General features: G+C 39.8%; 1 protein-coding gene across 2 annotated transcripts in view, besides 1 other annotated feature; it reads left to right on the forward strand.

Annotated features, from left to right (window-relative positions):
* Nucleotides 2,485-3,036: an enhancer, noted in NCBI's record as "OCT4-NANOG-H3K27ac hESC enhancer chr3:115333844-115334395 (GRCh37/hg19 assembly coordinates)". NCBI's record gives its function as "activates a minimal SCP1, AML or CMV promoter by ChIP-STARR-seq in naive H9 embryonic stem cells {active_cell/tissue: H9 hESC(naive)}" and the evidence as "EXISTENCE:reporter gene assay evidence [ECO:0000049][PMID:30033119]".
* GAP43 (growth associated protein 43) overlaps nt 10,998-17,385 on the forward strand; it is a 97,974-nt gene continuing 91,586 nt past the window's right edge. For both annotated transcript variants that reach the window (NM_001130064.2, NM_002045.4), the window contains exon 1: nt 10,998-11,207. Coding sequence is in view for 1 of the 2 variants with exons in the window: in NM_002045.4 (NP_002036.1) it covers nt 11,178-11,207 (30 nt within the window). In the remaining variant the exon portion in view is untranslated. The remainder of the gene's footprint in view (nt 11,208-17,385) is intronic.

Below are 17,385 nucleotides of genomic sequence, written 5' to 3' on the forward strand. Positions count from 1 at the left end.
TGGCCTATGTGTTTGTTTTTGTACCAGCACCATGCTGTTTTGGTTACTGTAACCTTGGAGTATAGTTCGAAGTCAGGTAGCGTAATGCTTCAGCTTTGTCCTTTTTGCTTAAGATTGTCTTGGCTATAAGGGATCTTTTTTTGGTTCCATATGAATTTTAAAGTAGTTTCTTTCTAATTCTATGAGGAATGTCAATGGTATTATAATTTAATGGGAATAGCATTGAATCTATAAATTACTTTGGGCAGTATGGCCATTTTCATCATATTGATTCTTTCTATCCATGAGCATGGAATGTTTTGCATTTGTGTGTCCTCTCTGATTTCCTTGAGCAGTGGTTTCTAGTTCTCCTTGAAGAGGTCTTTCACTTCCCGTGTTAGCTGTATTCCTAGGTATTTTACTCTCTTTGTAGCAATTGTGAATGGGAGTTCATTCATGATTTGGCTCTCTGTTTGTCTGTTGTTGGTATATAGAAATGCTAGTGATTTTTGCACATTGATTTTGTATCCTGAGACATCACTGAAGTTGCTTATCAGCTTAAGAAGCTTTGGGCTGACAGGATGGGGTTTTCTAGATATAGGATCATGTCATCTACAAACAGAGACAGTTAACAAATGGGGCTGGGAAAATTGGCTAGCCATACACAGAAAATTGAAACTGGACCCCTTCCTTATACCTTATACAAAAATTAACTCAAAACGGATTAAAGACTTAAGGTAAAACCCAAAACTATAAAAACCCTAGAAGATAATCTAAACAATATTATTCAGGATATAGGCACAGGCAAATATTTCATGATGTAATTGCCAAAAGCAATTGTAATAAAAGCAAAAAATTGACAAATGGGATCTAATTAAACTAAAGAGCTGTTACACAGCAAAAGAAAATACCATCAGAGTGAACAGACAGCCTACAGAATGGGAGAAAATTTTTGCAATCTACCCATCTGACAAAGGTCATCCAGAATCTACAAAGAACATAAATACATTTACAAGAAAAAAAACGATTAAAAGTGGGCAAAATATATGAACAGATACTTCTTAAAATAAGACATTTATGTGGCCCACAAGTATATGAAAAAAAGCTCAACATCACTGATCATCAGAGAAATACAAATTAAAACCACAATGAGATACCATCACACACCAGTCAGAATGGCGATTATTAAAAAGTCAAGAGGCCGGGCGTGGTGGCTCACAACTGTGATCTCAGCACTTAGGGAGGCCGAGTTGGGCGTATCACAAGGTCAGGAGATCAAGACCATCCTGGCTAACAGGATGAAACCCCGTATCTACTAAAAATACAGAAAATTAGCCGGGTGTGGTGGTGGGTGCCTGTAGTCCCAGCTACTTGGGAGGCTGAGGCAGGTGAATGGCATGAACCCGGGAGGCAGAGCTTGCAGTGAGCCGAGATCACGCCACTGCACTCCAGCCTGGGCAACAAAACGAGACTCCATCTCAAAAAAAAAAAAAAAAAAGTCAAGACACAACAGATGCTGGTGAGGCTGTGGATAAATAGGAACACTTTTACACTGTTGGTGGGAATGTAAATTAGTTCAATTCAACCATTGTGGAAGATAGTGTGGTGATTCCTCAAGACCTAGAACCAGAAATACCATTTGACCCGGTAATGCCAATTACTGGGCATATACCCAAAGGAATATAATTCATTCCATTATAAAGATACATGTATGCGTATGTTCATTGCAGCACTATTCACGATAGCAAAAACATGGAATCAACCCAAATGCCCATCCATGATAGACTGGATAAAGAAAATATGGTACATATACACCATGGAATCCTATGCAGCCATATAAAGGAACAAGATCATGTCCTTTGCAGGGACTAGATGGAGCTGGAAGCCATTATCCTCAGCAAACTGATGCAGAAACAGAAAACCAAACACTGCATGTTCTCACTTATAATTTGGAGCTGAATGATGAGAACACATGGAAACAGGGAGGAGAGCAACACACATTGGGGCCCGTTGGGAGAAGGGGAGTGGGAGGGAGAGCATCAGGATAAATAGCTAATGCATGCAGGGCTTAATACCTAGGTGATGGATTGATAGGTGCAGCAAACCACCATGGCACACCTTTACCTATGTAACAAACATGCACATGTATCCCAGAAGGTAAAATTAAATTAAATTAAAGAAAATAATACATTTATGTTTCTGAATGCTGTGATATTTGTGATAGATATCAATGTTTAAAAATATACAACTTGTGATTTATTTCCTTATTCTACATAAGTATTCATTTCATACTTAACTCGTATTCTTTTTCTTAAAGAAGGGTCCCTCCAAATCATATACTCTTTAATCCCGATAAGGCCTATGTATATCCCTGCTGGAAACACCAACAAATTGGTGTTTAAATTGTTTAAATTTAAAACAAATTTAAAAAACAAATTTAAACCAATTTAAAAACTGAGACATGGTGCTTGCCATCCAGAAATGTGCATTTTAGGCAGGATATAAGCTTGTAAACAAGCTGTCACTATACTGAAAGGCGAATAGAAAAGAGGTAAGAGGTATGCAAAAAGTTCTGTGGCTACTTCAGTGACTAAGCCCAATGGAATGCTTTGATTTCAGCCTGTGATGGTGTGTTGGTGGTGGAAGTTGGTGCAATTTAATGGAATTTTTCACCTTACCTGCTTAATGCACTAGTAAGCCACTGAGTTAGATTTGTTCATTCAATCATAAACTTCCTCTGGAGCTGAGTGACAAGTTAAGTCTTAGCTTATGGGCTACATAGATGAAAATCTTCTCTTTCTGTGCCACCAGCACAGGGCTCCCTCACTAAGATTTCTTTGTTATGGAATATTGGCTATTCAGAAATTCAGGTGGCTTCCATGGTGTGCTGGAAGGAGGAACTCTGAAAGGACTTGAGACAAGTCTGGAAAGAGGGATGGAGATTTGGAGGGTCCCCTAAATCATCCAGATCTTGGCTTCAGAAATCTTGTCTGCCTACAGAAAGCAGGGTGAATCCTGGCAGTGATGCCATACTGAAATGCTATCAGCCTAATTAATATGGTGACATCATATCATAGAGGCAAGCCTCTCCTTGGAACCAGATGCAGCCATGTCTGCCTGGAAGCTTTTGGCAGGCTCTGCCTGGCATCCTCATCTCAGAACAACAATCCAGGTCCGGTCAGAAAATATTTGCTAAGTACCTGTTATGTGCCAGCCACCAGGCCAGGTGCTAGGAGTAAAAAGATGAATAAGAGAGGGCCCCTGCAAACAGAAAACTTACATCTGAGTGAGGACAGTAAATAATATTAGTGTGGCAAGTGCCACTAAAATACTGTATCCTGCGTGTTATGGGACCCAGAGGAGGTGAGCAAGTCTCTTCTGGGAGTTCAGAGAAGGCTGCTCAGGGAAGTTTACTTTTTGTCTGGTTACTGAGTTTTCAAGACTCATATGAAGTGGGTAAAGATTTCTAAGTATATGGAACAGAATGGCTTCAAGAATGGAAACAAGATGGGGTGTTCATTGAACGACTTCTTCCTTACATTATAAAGTGTAAAATGGGGAGAGGTAGAAGATACTGCCAGAACAGTATCAGGAGTCATTAATTTGAGCTTGAGCTTTGTTCTTCAGACCATTCTTTCTCGAAGTGTGATCCAAGGTCACTGTGCCAACCTTATCCCAAAACGATAACTATACACATTGCAGATTCTAAGCACTTCCTCCCATCTACCAAGTCCAATGATCTGTTAAAGAGGTACAGAGAATCTGCATTTTTAACAAGTTCCTCAGGCGGTTCTTTTGTGTGCTGAAAGTTTGAGACTGACTAATTATGGCACAGGGATCCACAGAGGGATTTTAGGAAGGGGAAGGGTGTTGTTTGATTTTCATTTTAGATAGATCCATCTGGGTGAAGTGTGGAAGGTAGAACTAAATGGTGGGTAAATACAAAAATAGCAAAACCAATTAGAATGTTATTGCAATAATCTTGGCCAGAAATGCTGAAGGCCTGCGTTAGAGGAATTGAAGAAGAAAGACTTAAAAAAGAATATTTCAGAGATAAAGATGGGCAGAACATTTAGGAGGAAATGAAAACTGGTTGGTTTTGGCGTGGTGGTTGTCATGGAGAAGGAGGAGGTGATGCTGACTAGGGTGAATGATGAATCATGGGGCGCTCTACTAATACCGGGAATATAGTGAGAGGAACAAGCTGGCAGCCAAGAGGCCAAGTTGAGTTTTAGTTTGAGATGGGGGTATCTATGAGCCATCTGTGTGTATTCACAGCAAGTAGTTGAATACCTAGTTCTAAAGTTTCTATCTGAGAGAGATTTTATTTAATGTTGTACTGCTGGGTGCCAAGCCATGGAACAGGGCAAACGTGAGGAATCCACATTTAGGTGGTTTGGTGCTAACAGACCTTGAGAAATGTGTCCCAAACCAAGGTCATCTGAGCCCTGAATGCTGCTAAAAAGTATTTAAAAGTCCACAGGAGTATTGAAGATTTCCCAGTACATTCTTAGATATAATTATTGTTTCAGCTTGATTTGTATAGAGCAAGGATCTAATTTTGTGATTTCTGCTGCTGTTGCTTCTTCACCTGGTAGACACACATGAGGCATCTTCTACTGTAGAAAATGCCCCACTATGACCGAGAAGGTGTGGAAACCAAGTGCTGTAAGAATCTCACCACTGAAAAGTAAAGATTTTAATTTGGAGTTTTCTTTGTTTTGTTTTTTGTTTTGTTACTTTTTAGCTAAGAGGATGTTAGTTTAACGTCAGTGCACCTCCATGTTGTCCTACTTCAAATCTTGGATCTTGATGATATATTGTTTTCGGACCAGCTATTGTTATGGTTTTTGAATTTCAGTATTTCCATTCAGGATGATTAAAATTAACATCTTGAGACAGCACAATGTAGAACGTTCCCTTCTTCTGGAAAGAGATGTGTCATTCCTTGAATAGTTCTCACTATGGATACTTAAAAAATCACACCTGGTTTACTTACTTATGCAGGTATTTAAATAATGACAAATCAATTGAATGTATAAATGACATTTTAAGAGGATAAAGGCAAGGAACTTTCTCAAGCATTTTTTAGGCTATTGTTACCTCTAGTTTACCCCCTTGATGGCTTCTTTTCTTGATCTTGTCTTTAAGTTCCTGAAACCTGAACATTTCTCAAAGTTTATTCTTTGGTCCTCTGATTTCTATAGCACACTGTAGCTCACAAAATGAATTCCCTTTGATGGCTCCAACAATGACCCATAGAAAGACAATTCTGACTCTTGTTTCTTACCATCTGATCCTGTATTGCTCTTGAACACGTCAATGCTTTCATAAAATGAACACTTTCAAGCTTGACTCATCACCTTTCTCACAAAACCAGGTCCCTTTCTGACTTTTATAATTCTCATTTTCCAGGCTGTCTAGGTTCAATCTCTGTACAACTTTTGGTTCTTCCATTCTTCTCTTCCTCCTAGATATTCTCCTGTGAGATAAAAGAAACAAACTATGTAAAGCACAAAATATGTGGTATATGGAACATATTAGGTACTTAACAGGTGACAGTTCACTTTTTCTTCCATGATTCCTCGCAGATATATGTTTCTCTCACAGGACCCCAGTATATCTTTCTCACCATTTCATACTACACAATGTTACCACAGGCATTCTTTAAAATGTCCCCATCCACAAATCTTAGGTCTAATCCCTTGTAGTGGGGTGACTTGCGTCTCCCAAAAAGCTATGTCCAAGTCCTAATTCCTGGTACCACTGAATGTGAACTTTCTTGGAAAAAAAGTCTTTGCAGGTGTAATTTGTAATGAAGTTGAGGATCTCAAGATAAGATCATCTTGGATTTAGGGAGGGCCCTAAATTTGATGACAGATGTCTTTCTAAGAAAGAGAAAGATGGGGCCAGGCACAGTAGTTCATGCCTGTAATCCAAGCACTTTGAGAGGCTGAAGCGGGTGGATCATCTGAGGTCAGGAGTTTGAGACCAGCCTGGCCAAGATGGCAAAACTAGTCCTCTACTAAAAATACAAAAAATTAGCCAGCCGTGGTGGCACATGCCTGTAGTGTCAGCTACTCAGGAGGCTGGGGCAAGAAAATCACTTGAACCTGGGAGGCAGAAGTTGCAGTGAGCCAAGACCCCGCCATTGCACTCCAGCCCAAGTGACAGAGCAAGACTCTGCCTCAAAAAAAAAAAAAAAAAAAAAAGAATGAAGAAAACGGAAAGACACAGGGACACAGAATGGGGAAGGTCTTATGAAGACGAAGGCGGAGATTAGAGTGATGCTTCTTCAAAACAAGCAACACCAAAGATTGACCACAGCCACCAGAAGCTAAAAGAAAGATCTGGAATGTATCCTCCCTCAGAGCCTCCAGAGGGAACAAAACCCTGCTAACTGATTTCAGACTTCAGGTTTTCAGAAATGTGAGAAAGTAATATTCTGTTGTTTTAAGCTACCAAATTTGTTACAGCAGGCCTAGGAAACTAATATATCCCCTTAGCCTGATCTTGAAGATCCCTCTTAATCTGGCTTTAACCTACGTTTTCAACATTGTCTCTTACCAGTATCCTTTACAACTCCCCCCACTTCTGTATCCTGCCAGTCCCTTGATCATGCAGTGATTATTTGTGCATTTTGTCTTTTCTAATGTGATCCCTTTCCCTTTTTTAAAACTCCTATGTCTTCTCTATTCATTCTAATCCTAATCCTGAAACAAAAAGCCCATCTTAGTCTACAGTGGTTTATTTCCTATTTTGAATTCTTATCAAACACATTTGACATTGAATCATATTTTGTGCACACAGTGTTTGCTTTGCTTTTCATGTACGTGTGACTTTCCTTGAGGGAAGGATGATTTTTGCAACATAGAAACTATAGATTAAGTGAATGAAAACAGCAAGTATGGACAGAGAAAGCAGGTGTTTGGGTTGAATTATGTCCCCCTTATTTGCAAATTCATATGTTGGAACCTAACTCCCAGTACCTTAAGATGTGACTGTATTTGGAGATCTTTAATGTGACCCTTTACAGAGAAAATTAAGGTGAAATGAGGCCATAGGTGTGGGCCCTAATCCAATTTGATTGGTGTCCTTATGAAGGGGAGCTTACGATACACAGGGACAGAGAGCAGAGGTGCACATGCACACAGGGGGGCAACCATGCCATGTGCAGAGGCAGCAGAGGGCGGCCAGCTGCAAGTGCAGGAAAGAGGTTTGGAAAGGACCTTCCTTTAGGACTCTCAGAGGAAACCAACTCAGCCACCAGCCTGATCTTGGACTTCCAGACTTCAGAACTGTCAGAAATTACATTTCTGTTTTTTAGGCCACCCAGTCTGTGCTATTTTGTTACGGCAATGCTAGAAAACTAATGCAGCAAGTAAAAGGCTTAGATTAAGCACTGAAAAAATAAGAGAAGAGGCCGAGGTGAGAGGATTGCTTGAAGCCAGCAGTTTGAGACCAGTCTAGGCAACATGATGAGACCTTGTCTCTACAAAAATAAAAAATAAAAAAAAAATTAGCCAGGAGTGGTGACGTGTACTTGTAGTTCACAGAAGGCTTGTGTACTCAGAAGGCTGAGGTAGAAGATTGCTTGAGCCTAGGATTTCAAGGTTGTAGTGAGCTATGTTTGCACCACTGCACTCCAGCCTGGGCGACAAAGAGAAAACCTGTCTCAGAATAAAATAGAATAAAATAAAATATAAAATAAAATTTAAAAAAGGGAGAAATAAGACTAACATCTTTTCTACCTGAATTGATGACATTGTCTTCTCTCAAGTACCAGCCATAATCTTAAAATGGTAGACTATTTTACAGAGCCCTTAGTAAAGGTCAGTGACTTTTGGTTTTATTATACAAGCAGTATCACTTTAGTATAAAGTTCAAAGAGATCTGAGCGTGGAACTGGGATCTGGCCTCCACCACTCTTCATCTTTTTCTAGAATGTTATTATTGTCTAACCTATAGTCAAGAAGTTAATTGATAGTATTATGAGTTAATTTGCTAATCTAAAATTGTAAAAGGGTTAGCCATGGGGCTTAAGCCTATGCATTGTCTAGGATTAGTTATAAAGTACAAGGATTAGTGGGTCTATTGTGTATTTGCTTGGCAAAAATCGGGACATCGGTTATTTTATTTTTTATATATTTTTTGCAAAGCTCATATCAGTTTGTGCTTGTCTCTCCCTTATTCTTTTGCCATCCATAACCACCATTGCTTAGAGAAAAAGATGCATTAGAATTGATTCCATGTTATTCAAATTAAATTTGGAATCTTAGGCTTCCAAATTGGGAGGTAATTTTTAAAGGTTCATTGACAGAATGTAGTATGTCCAGAGGAAGGCATCCAAAATGGTGAGGACCTTACACACTGAGACACCTGAGGGTAGTTGAAGGAGCAGACATCTCATCAGAAATACATAGAGGGCTCTCTATTGCATGAAGATATCAGCTTATTCTCCATGGCTCTTGAAGTAAGAGTTGGGCCTAAAAGATGGATCTTGCTGATTTCATTTCAACATTGAATGCTGATTTCATTTCAACATTAAAACTTCCACTATGTAGTTTAATCTCTTAAGGACTAGAAGTAATGAAGAGTAGAGGCCTATTAAGTGGTGATTGATGTAGCCTAGTTGTTAAGAGACATAGAGTCCTAGCTTTACTACTTCTTAGTTCTGTGACTTAGTCAAGGCACTTAACTTCCCTTAGCTTTAGCATCCCCATCAAAATGGGATTACTACTTGTGCCTACCTCATTTTGAGTATTAGATAAAATAATGCATGTAAACTGATGAGGAAGCTGATTCTGAGCTGGGTGGTTTCACATATTTAGTCACAAAGTTCATCAATGCTTGTGCCCAGTTTTAAGCCCTAGCTTGTTTAACTTCATTATGCCACTTTGTTTCCAAGGTTCCTTCCCATATATAAAGGGGGAAAAATATAAATGGGATGGCTGAGGTGAGTACATCGAAAGGGAAAGGAATTAGTCCCACTCTTTAAGTTTGGCCACATAGTTAATGAAATGGTCTTATCAATGGAGTTATCCTGTTTAAACACCAAAAGGTGCAATTTCTTCTCCATCATCCCCAATCCCCACATTCTCTGCCTCCTCCCTTCATTGCTCTTTAGCCACTAGCAGGCTAGGTAGGGTGTTCCTAATCTGCAACCGGAATGTTTCTGGTAGGAGCCATTTCTCACCCACTCTTTGTCCTCTTTTATCACTTAAAATCACGGAAGGCTGTTCTGAAAGCGGCTGGGCTCCTTGTAACATTAAAAAATTATTAAACTCAGAAACTAATTCTGTTTTTTAATCATAAATATGAAAACTAGGAAGCAAACTGAGAAGAATGAAAGACCAAATCAGCGGATCTGAAGCAGGCCACTCTCAGGAAGACTCCTGAGGAATAATTAAGGCTAATTTTAAATATCACCTCCTGGGTATCATCATCACCATCGTTCCCAGGTACCTGTCTGAGATAGTCCATTTTGAAATAGATATACCTTAAATTATGTTAAAATGTACTAAGCACTTATTGAGCTCAGTGATCCTGAAATATGCCTAACAATAAGCTGCCTAGTTGCCACTTATTAGCTAGGTTTATGTCTAGGAGGTCTAGGAGGGACTATGAAGAATATGAGCTGTTTAATTAGGGGTACTTGTCATCACTAATGAACAACAAGAAATAGTTTGAAAACTTCTTTGAGATATTCACTTGCAAATGTCACCCGAATTTCAGAAAAGTACAGTCTCTGGAGTAAAGCTATTATACACTCAGAGAGACTGTTGTGCTTTGCATGCGTTATATCATTTAGTCCTCAAAACATGTTGTCAAGATTGGCATTATTATCTCCATTTTAAAGATGAGAAAATTAGGTGCAAAGAGCTTCAGTAACACACTCAAACTCATTCAACAATAAATAACTAAAAATTGTGCTATACACACTTTAAGAGTCACATGTTCCTCCCCCAAAATTATGAAAGGCCATAGAAGGAATTCAAGAAGTAGGCTTCATGACTTATCGTTTCTTCTCATCTCAGATGAATTCACTTTAATCTCTCATGCCCAAATTGTAAAATATCATTTTGATCACCGTCAATATTACACAGACCTGTTTGAATGTGCTCAGCTTTTTCAGTAAAATTAGAAGAAACCACAATTTACAAACAGGTATATGTGCATTAAGGAAAAAACAAAAAACTACCATGTGATTTTAGATATGGATGCCAATTCTTAAACATTGTTTATTATTTCTGAGCTCAAGTGCTTAGAATGTTTAAAATGCAATATATTTATGTGGATTTTTTTCCAGGATATTGGAACATATATAAAATATGCTTGTGCATATCTAAGCTTTGTATTTATTTCAGGTTATATGTATACTGAGAAGAATATATAAACAGTGTATGATATTTACATGTTATTTCATTTTTTGAGGGAAATTAACCTCCACAATTATTAACTATGCATAAAATGTAATGGCAGATATGACTTATATTGTATAGGACTGACTACAATTCCTCTTTAGAAATAGCTGTTCTTTGCTTTTATAATACTAGGAAAAGAGGAAAAGAGTTCTTAAAGAAATACAAGGATTCCTCAAGCCCCTCTTCCCTAAAACATGCTCTATCATATCTCCTGGATTGACTGGAATATCCTTCTCTGCCCCCACCCCATCACCCTCTCAATGCAGTGGAAAAGTCGGTGGGTAATTGGGTCCAGATTGGAGGTGTTTAAATATTCATGAGGCTGGCAGGGGACTGGGAGGGGGCGACTGTCTAGAATGGGGGTAGGGGCTGGGGGAAGTGATTAGTCACTGAAGGCTAGAGAACAATTCCGAGAAAGAGACGGAGAGAGAGGGAAGAAAAAGACAGATAGATAGATATTGGGGGGAAGGAGAAAAAAGGAGAAGAGAGGGAAGAGAGGACAGCGGAGAGAGAGCACCAGAGAGAGAGGGAGAGAGAGAGAGAGCGCTAGAGAGAGGGAGCGAGCATGTGCGATGAGCAATAGCTGTGGACCTTACAGTTGCTGCTAACTGCCCTGGTGTGTGTGAGGGAGAGAGAGGGAGGGAGGGAGAGAGAGCGCGCTAGCGCGAGAGAGCGAGTGAGCAAGCGAGCAGAAAAGAGGTGGAGAGGGGGGGAATAAGAAAGAGAGAGAAGGAAAGGAGAGAAGGCAGGAAGAAGGCAAGGGACGAGACAACCATGCTGTGCTGTATGAGAAGAACCAAACAGGTAGAGCTAAAGATTTTTTACTTCTTGCTGTTGTGAAATAACCCGAGTACAGTATTTCCCCGTAAAGGCAAACAATTTTTTTACTGCTTCTGCTCTGGCCGTGGTGCTCGCGCTTCCTTAGCATATGGTAACTGATGGTTGCATCCCAGCTTTTATTCTTTTCTGTCTTTCATGCTCTGGTTTTGGAATGCTGCTACTAATTAGGGTGAGGGTAGAAAAAACATGCCTGTTTGGCTAGAAATAATTTTTTTTTTTCTTATTAGTGAATGCTCAGCATTTGAGGTCTCTGGTCTTGAGGGTGTGGACGTAGAAAGGGGTGTGGGGGAGATGATGTGGGCTCTACCTACAAGATGGGGAGGCATTTCTTTATATTATTTGCAAAAAAGCAGGGTTGAGGAAATAATATTCAGAACTGAGTATTGCCTCTCTGTCATACAATTTTCTCACATGTGCTGCGGAAGATGCCTTATTTCGTGCATGCATGAGCTTCGAAGGGGCGCAGGTATTTATGGAAAAACGTGCAGGTCTTATTTATTTAGTATTTATTTTTCAATGAATGAATGAAACTGTGATTTGATAGATTTTTTTTTTTTTTAAGAGAAGCTAAGACAACTGGGGCTGGGGGAGAAATTGGCCATGCAGAAGGAGAAAATCCCCTTCCTAAGATCAGCAGCCGATTGTGCACCAGCTGGTCGGAGGAGAGGGTGGACCACGCCCCTAGGAGCTCCGATGGGATGGGAAAGACAGCCGGGTATTACCTGTTGGAAACCAGGTCTTTTCTCTTATCCCCTTCCCTTGCTTCTTTCCTGGGATTGTCAGTGACCAGAGACAGGCTAACATCCTGGATAATAAGTATGGTGACTCATTTTCATCAGGAAGAGGGACACATCCAAGATTAGCAAGAATCAGAGCCCCTCCTTCCCTCCCCCACTGCCCAGGTTTTACAGCCATTTCCAATTGCTCGCTTATTTCTTGAAAGACATTTTAGAAACTTGATTGGGGTGAGAGTGGGAAGGAATGACGAGTGTGGTATTCCGCAGCAACCGACCATGCCATGGCAGTCTCCAAAAGAAGCTTTCAAACATTTGTTGGAATGCATTTGAGTGATTTTGGCAAAGGTTAAAGAGAAAAATGGGTGTGGGATACGGGTGAGTGTGTGCGTATGCTTGACTGTGGTGGGGGTGGGGGTGTGGTGGGGGCAATCTTGGTCAAAGAAGCCCTTCGCAGACTGATTGCCTTAGGGGTGGGGTGCAAGAGATGGAATTTGGGTATAATTTCCAGTGCAGGTATTGGAAATTGGGCAATTTGTAATACACTCCCTGAATCCGAAGGGGGTGGAAGAGAGTGGAGAAGAAACAGCCTGCCAGCTTAGCACATTTAGCCAGCGCCCTGGAAGGAAGGGTGGGGAGTGAGGATGAAGGAGAAGGAGCAGGAAGAGGATGGGAGACTGAAGCAGAATGTCAGAGCAGTGGGAGTAGAGATTTGGCATAAATAAATAAATAAATAAATAAGCAGACATCCTGGATTGTGTGGGGCTATTTGGGGGAAAAAGTCGGATAGTGGGGGATTGAGTTGGGGGCGGTATTTGCAGCATCTCCTGAAACTGCCCTATGGTTACAGAGATTGATGCTTCCATTGGCTCATTTTATCAAACCAGGGCATTTTCTCTCTGTGTCCTCCTTCATTTTAATATATAAATGTAATAAATACAGGTGTCTGGGTTAAGAACACTGTCAAAGAAAAGTCCTGAGGTTATTTCACTGGTGAGCTGGGGAAATAACATTTAGGAAGGTGGAGCACTAAGTAAGCCAAAGCCATCCACTTAAAAAGCTTTAATTTTGGAAAGAAAAATATTCAGGTTCATAATTTGTTCCCACCCTATGTGTACATATGCAAGTATACATACATCTCCTTTAATAAAGGAAATCATGTATGATTTTTAGAAAAGGAATTAGGGCTAAAGGAATTCCCTTCCCAAAATGAAGACAGCTGCCTTCCCTGGGGCTCTATCTCACCAACAGCCCCAAGCATTCACTCTGATGTGCAAAGTGATGAAGCTGAAATTGTGTTTAGAGTTGTAGAAATTCGCATGTAAATGTATACAGCATCCACATACTTCATATGCTACAGTTGCATGTGTAAGTGGTTTCCACATGCCTCTCTGTGTTTTAGCATCATTTATATTCAAGAGAAAATTAAAGGTATAGAAATTGTCCTACTTTGCTCATGCATTTTATAAATGTGTACTTCTGTGTGAAATGGTCATGTCTCTTATAAACCACTGTTGTGTATCATTCACATTAGCCAGTATTTAGGATACCATTCAATCAGACTAAAGGAAATGGTGTATTCAGGGCGTGGGCTCACACTACACTGACTGGCATTTATGTAGCATGAGTACTTAAGTCTCACGCAGGTTGCCTGCTTGTGGATGAAATTCTGTATCATTTATGACAAAATCCAGTGGTGCCCATCCTTCTGCTGGCATCTATTCATCATCGTAGTACTTAACAGGGAATAAAACAAGGGCAAAAACCTGCAAAGGTCTAAGCTCTGCCACACCCATAAAATCCAGCAGAAACGTGGGAGGGGGGCTGAAGGGCTTGCACTTCCTTCCTCTTCCACTTGAGCGGCATAAAGAAGCAACCTTGGATTTCTAAGTTGGAATACATTGCCAGTGGGTGAGAAGAAAGCATAAATGATCTCTATTAGCCATTAGTTATCACTATAGATTATTATAGCAGGAAGAAGAGAATGAGAGTGGGGTAGAGATGAGAATATGGTAAAGGAGTGGGCAAAGGAGGAATAAAATAAAATAATCCCTAATATTGTATTGCCTTATGATTTTCAAATATCTTGGGGCTTACTTTAAATAGCTTAATTGCCATGTGTATTGCAGATGATTAAAAACTTGGCAAGGTGTGATTTATGTCTACAAAGCAAGAAAACTATGAGGTGTTTCTTTTGTTGAAAAATAATGACTTTAGTTTGTAATTGAAGTGTAAAGAATTTCATGCAAGCAAGTAGTCCCTCTACTCCCCAGCCCCCCATCCATGCCAATATCTGCTTTTTTCCTCATGCAACAAATAAATCTTATCTCTGAGAGTGTGATCTGTGGTTTAAAATTCCGACCTCTCTGCCTTTCCTTGCAGTGTTGGGAAGGTGTGGAAGGATGCTGCCTTGCTGCTTGGTGCAGGCGATTCTTCCTAGTGATAAATTGGATTCCTCCCAAATCTCTCTGAGCCACACCCAGTGTCACTCAGGGACTTAGTGAATTAATTAAGCTGAGCCATTTTACTTAATATAATTGAAGCTTCTCGTTCTTTTTTTTTTTTTTAATAGTGATTTTCACCACAGGTTTCCAAATTTAAACAGAAAAAATATTTGAAGGGCATTTTCTTTCTTTTTTCTTTCTTTTTTTTTTTTTTTTGCCAAATTATCTGGACTTGCAGAGAACCTTAGAAAATTCATGGTGAGTCTAGAAAGTGTTCATTTCTGGTGACTCTATAATTCCTTCTAACCCATGCCAGGGCGCATACACAATGAGCCCTGATCTCTCCTGCTGACAGAGTCTGTGTAACTCTCTTCCCCACCCCCTCCCCTACCAACCCATGCTGAGGCAACTGGAATAAGAAAATGCAGAGTTAATTTTCTTTCTTGCTGAGCTGGCAAAACTACAGAAACCTCCTTTGATGTTTCAAGCTAAAGGGCAGTACTCCTGTTCACCGAGAGGGAGAGTGGCTTGGGGTCTCCTTTGCCTCTGTCATAGTGAAATTGCCAGTGTTATTCCTGGGGCTGAATTAATCCACAGACTTCAGAATTTTACCTGGCCCCATAAGGAAGGGTACTGGTGTTCTTTCAGGCAAGAATAGAGCATATATATTAACCAATCGTATTGATAAAGTAAGACAAGTCTTCCTCTATTAATAGTTCAAAGAATGCACATAACCAGGTCATCTCAAGAGAAGGTATAGCAGCATTTAACTATTCACTTCCCTATTAGTATTAATAAAGGCATTAGGGCAACCAAGCAGTGGCTGTTGCAAACCAAAGAAGTGATTTCATACAGGAATTCTCCCTTTTCAATTTGTGAAGTGTGGTCAGGTGGCTTTTGTACCTTTGTAATTAAATCTTCATAACATTTTCAGAAGTGTTGGGAAGAATATTATACTGTGAGTCCTTAGTGGAGGCCACTTACTGACTGTGAGCTTTAATAAACCACATCACCTTGGGTTTCAGTTTCCTTCTGTAGAATGAAGAGTAAAAACCAAAAACCAGACACAAATGAACACTTTGCTTACCTTAAGGATTTTTGTAGGGCTTAAACATACTTGATGTGAAAATAAAGATCAATATAAGAAATTTTTATTCTCCCCAAGTTTTGCAATTTGAGGCTTGTCTTAGAGGCCCCAGTTTTGCAGGATGATCTAGTGCCTGCTGTGTCTACCTTTCCCTGTTAGAGATGAGTTCCTTCTAGTCTTAGTTGAGCCTTCTGCTTGTGCTCTTGCTCCTCCCCCCGTGTTTTCCCCAGAGCCCCAGTCCCTCATGCCCTGCTCTTTCTTGAGATTTCATCTTCTTGTGCTGCACTGGCTCCTTTCCTTATAGTTTATGAATATGCTTTTGCCTCATCTATCTTAAAAGATTCTCTCCTGACTCTATGTCCCCATCTCTATAGTTCTCTGTCTCACTCTCCCTTTAGAACAAAGTTCCAAGTACTCTCCACCCTCATTTTCTCCTCTTCTTCACTCCCCATTCACTATTCCATCTAGTTTAATTTGGCTTTGATTTTCATAATTTCACTGAAAAACATATTCTGAAAGGGTGTCACATCCAGTGACCCTTCATTTTACATCTTATTTGATGTCTCTTTGGCATTTTGTGTTGTTGTCAATCCCTGTTCCTGAAACTGTCCCCTTACTGGGTCTGCATGATATTAATAGCTCTCCTTATTCTCCCTCTCAGATAAGACCCTGCTCAGTCTCCTTATAGGCTTCTCTTGCTCTCTTCACCCACCTCCCCAAATCTATGATCTCCTGGATCATAATCTTCATTCATTCCACTCTTCTCGTTTGACTCACTAATCCTAGGTGATCTCATCAGGTCATCCACATCCAAATCTTTAGCCACCTGTGTGATTTCCAGATCTGTAGATCAGATGTCTGTTTTTAGCTTCTGATCCATAGTTATCTTGGTCTAAGTGCTTCATTTCAGAGACAAGTTTGTTAGGTACAAAACCCAACTCAGTGTCTTCTGTTGTGTATCACACTTGATCTTCCTCACTACAATTATTGCTCTGATACTGTCCATCCAGCCTCAGAGCTCTAGGAACCTGAGAGTAATCCTGAATGTATTTTATTTCAACTCCCATATCCAGTTTCTAAATCCTTTGATTCCTTGATTCTTGTTTAAAAGATTGAATAAATCCTCTGCTTTTCTACCCTGTTTATATAAATAACCTGGCACAGACTTTTCATGACTACTCATCTGGACAAAAGCAGTAACTTTCTATGTGGAGTTCTACCACCACATTGTTCTTTAGTTTACCTTGCAAATAACACCACAGCTATCTTTACAAAATGCAAATCGGGTTTTGTTATTTTCTTTGTTAAAATATAAACTCTTCAGCATCAATGACACAATCTAGTTTTGCCTGCTTTTCTAGTGCCAAATTCCAACAGCCCCCCTGCTCTTTTTTTTTTTTTTACCTGATGACACCATGCCAAGATTTCAGGCCTTGGTGCCTTCGCTTGTACTCCACTCTCTGCCCATGTTACCCTTCCCTCTCAGCCTGAAATATTCCCACTTTCCCTGCAAGAGTTAGCTCTTTGAAGCCATTCTTAACCTTCCTAATTAAGTTTTCTTCTACCTTCTTTTTGCCCATGCTGTATTTTGTACTATCTCTATTATCACTTATTGCACTATTTGACATTTATTTTTTCACATTCTGGTGTCTACCCTGTGAGCTTCTTGGGGAAAAGGATGAAAACATAATTCTTGTTTTATCTCTACCATAATACTTGGTACATAAAATAACTCATGTTAACCATGAATAATCTGTTTGCTAAATAAATATGGAACCAGGTTTATAGTCTTTTCACAGGCTGTAGCATATCTAAATGGATAGAATCACTAGGAGATTTTTAAAAAAATGTCTTGGCATGAAATTTTAAAGTGGAAC

This window comes from Homo sapiens, chromosome 3, assembly GCF_000001405.40.
Source record: "Homo sapiens chromosome 3, GRCh38.p14 Primary Assembly".
Classification (NCBI taxonomy): Eukaryota; Metazoa; Chordata; class Mammalia; order Primates; family Hominidae; genus Homo; species Homo sapiens.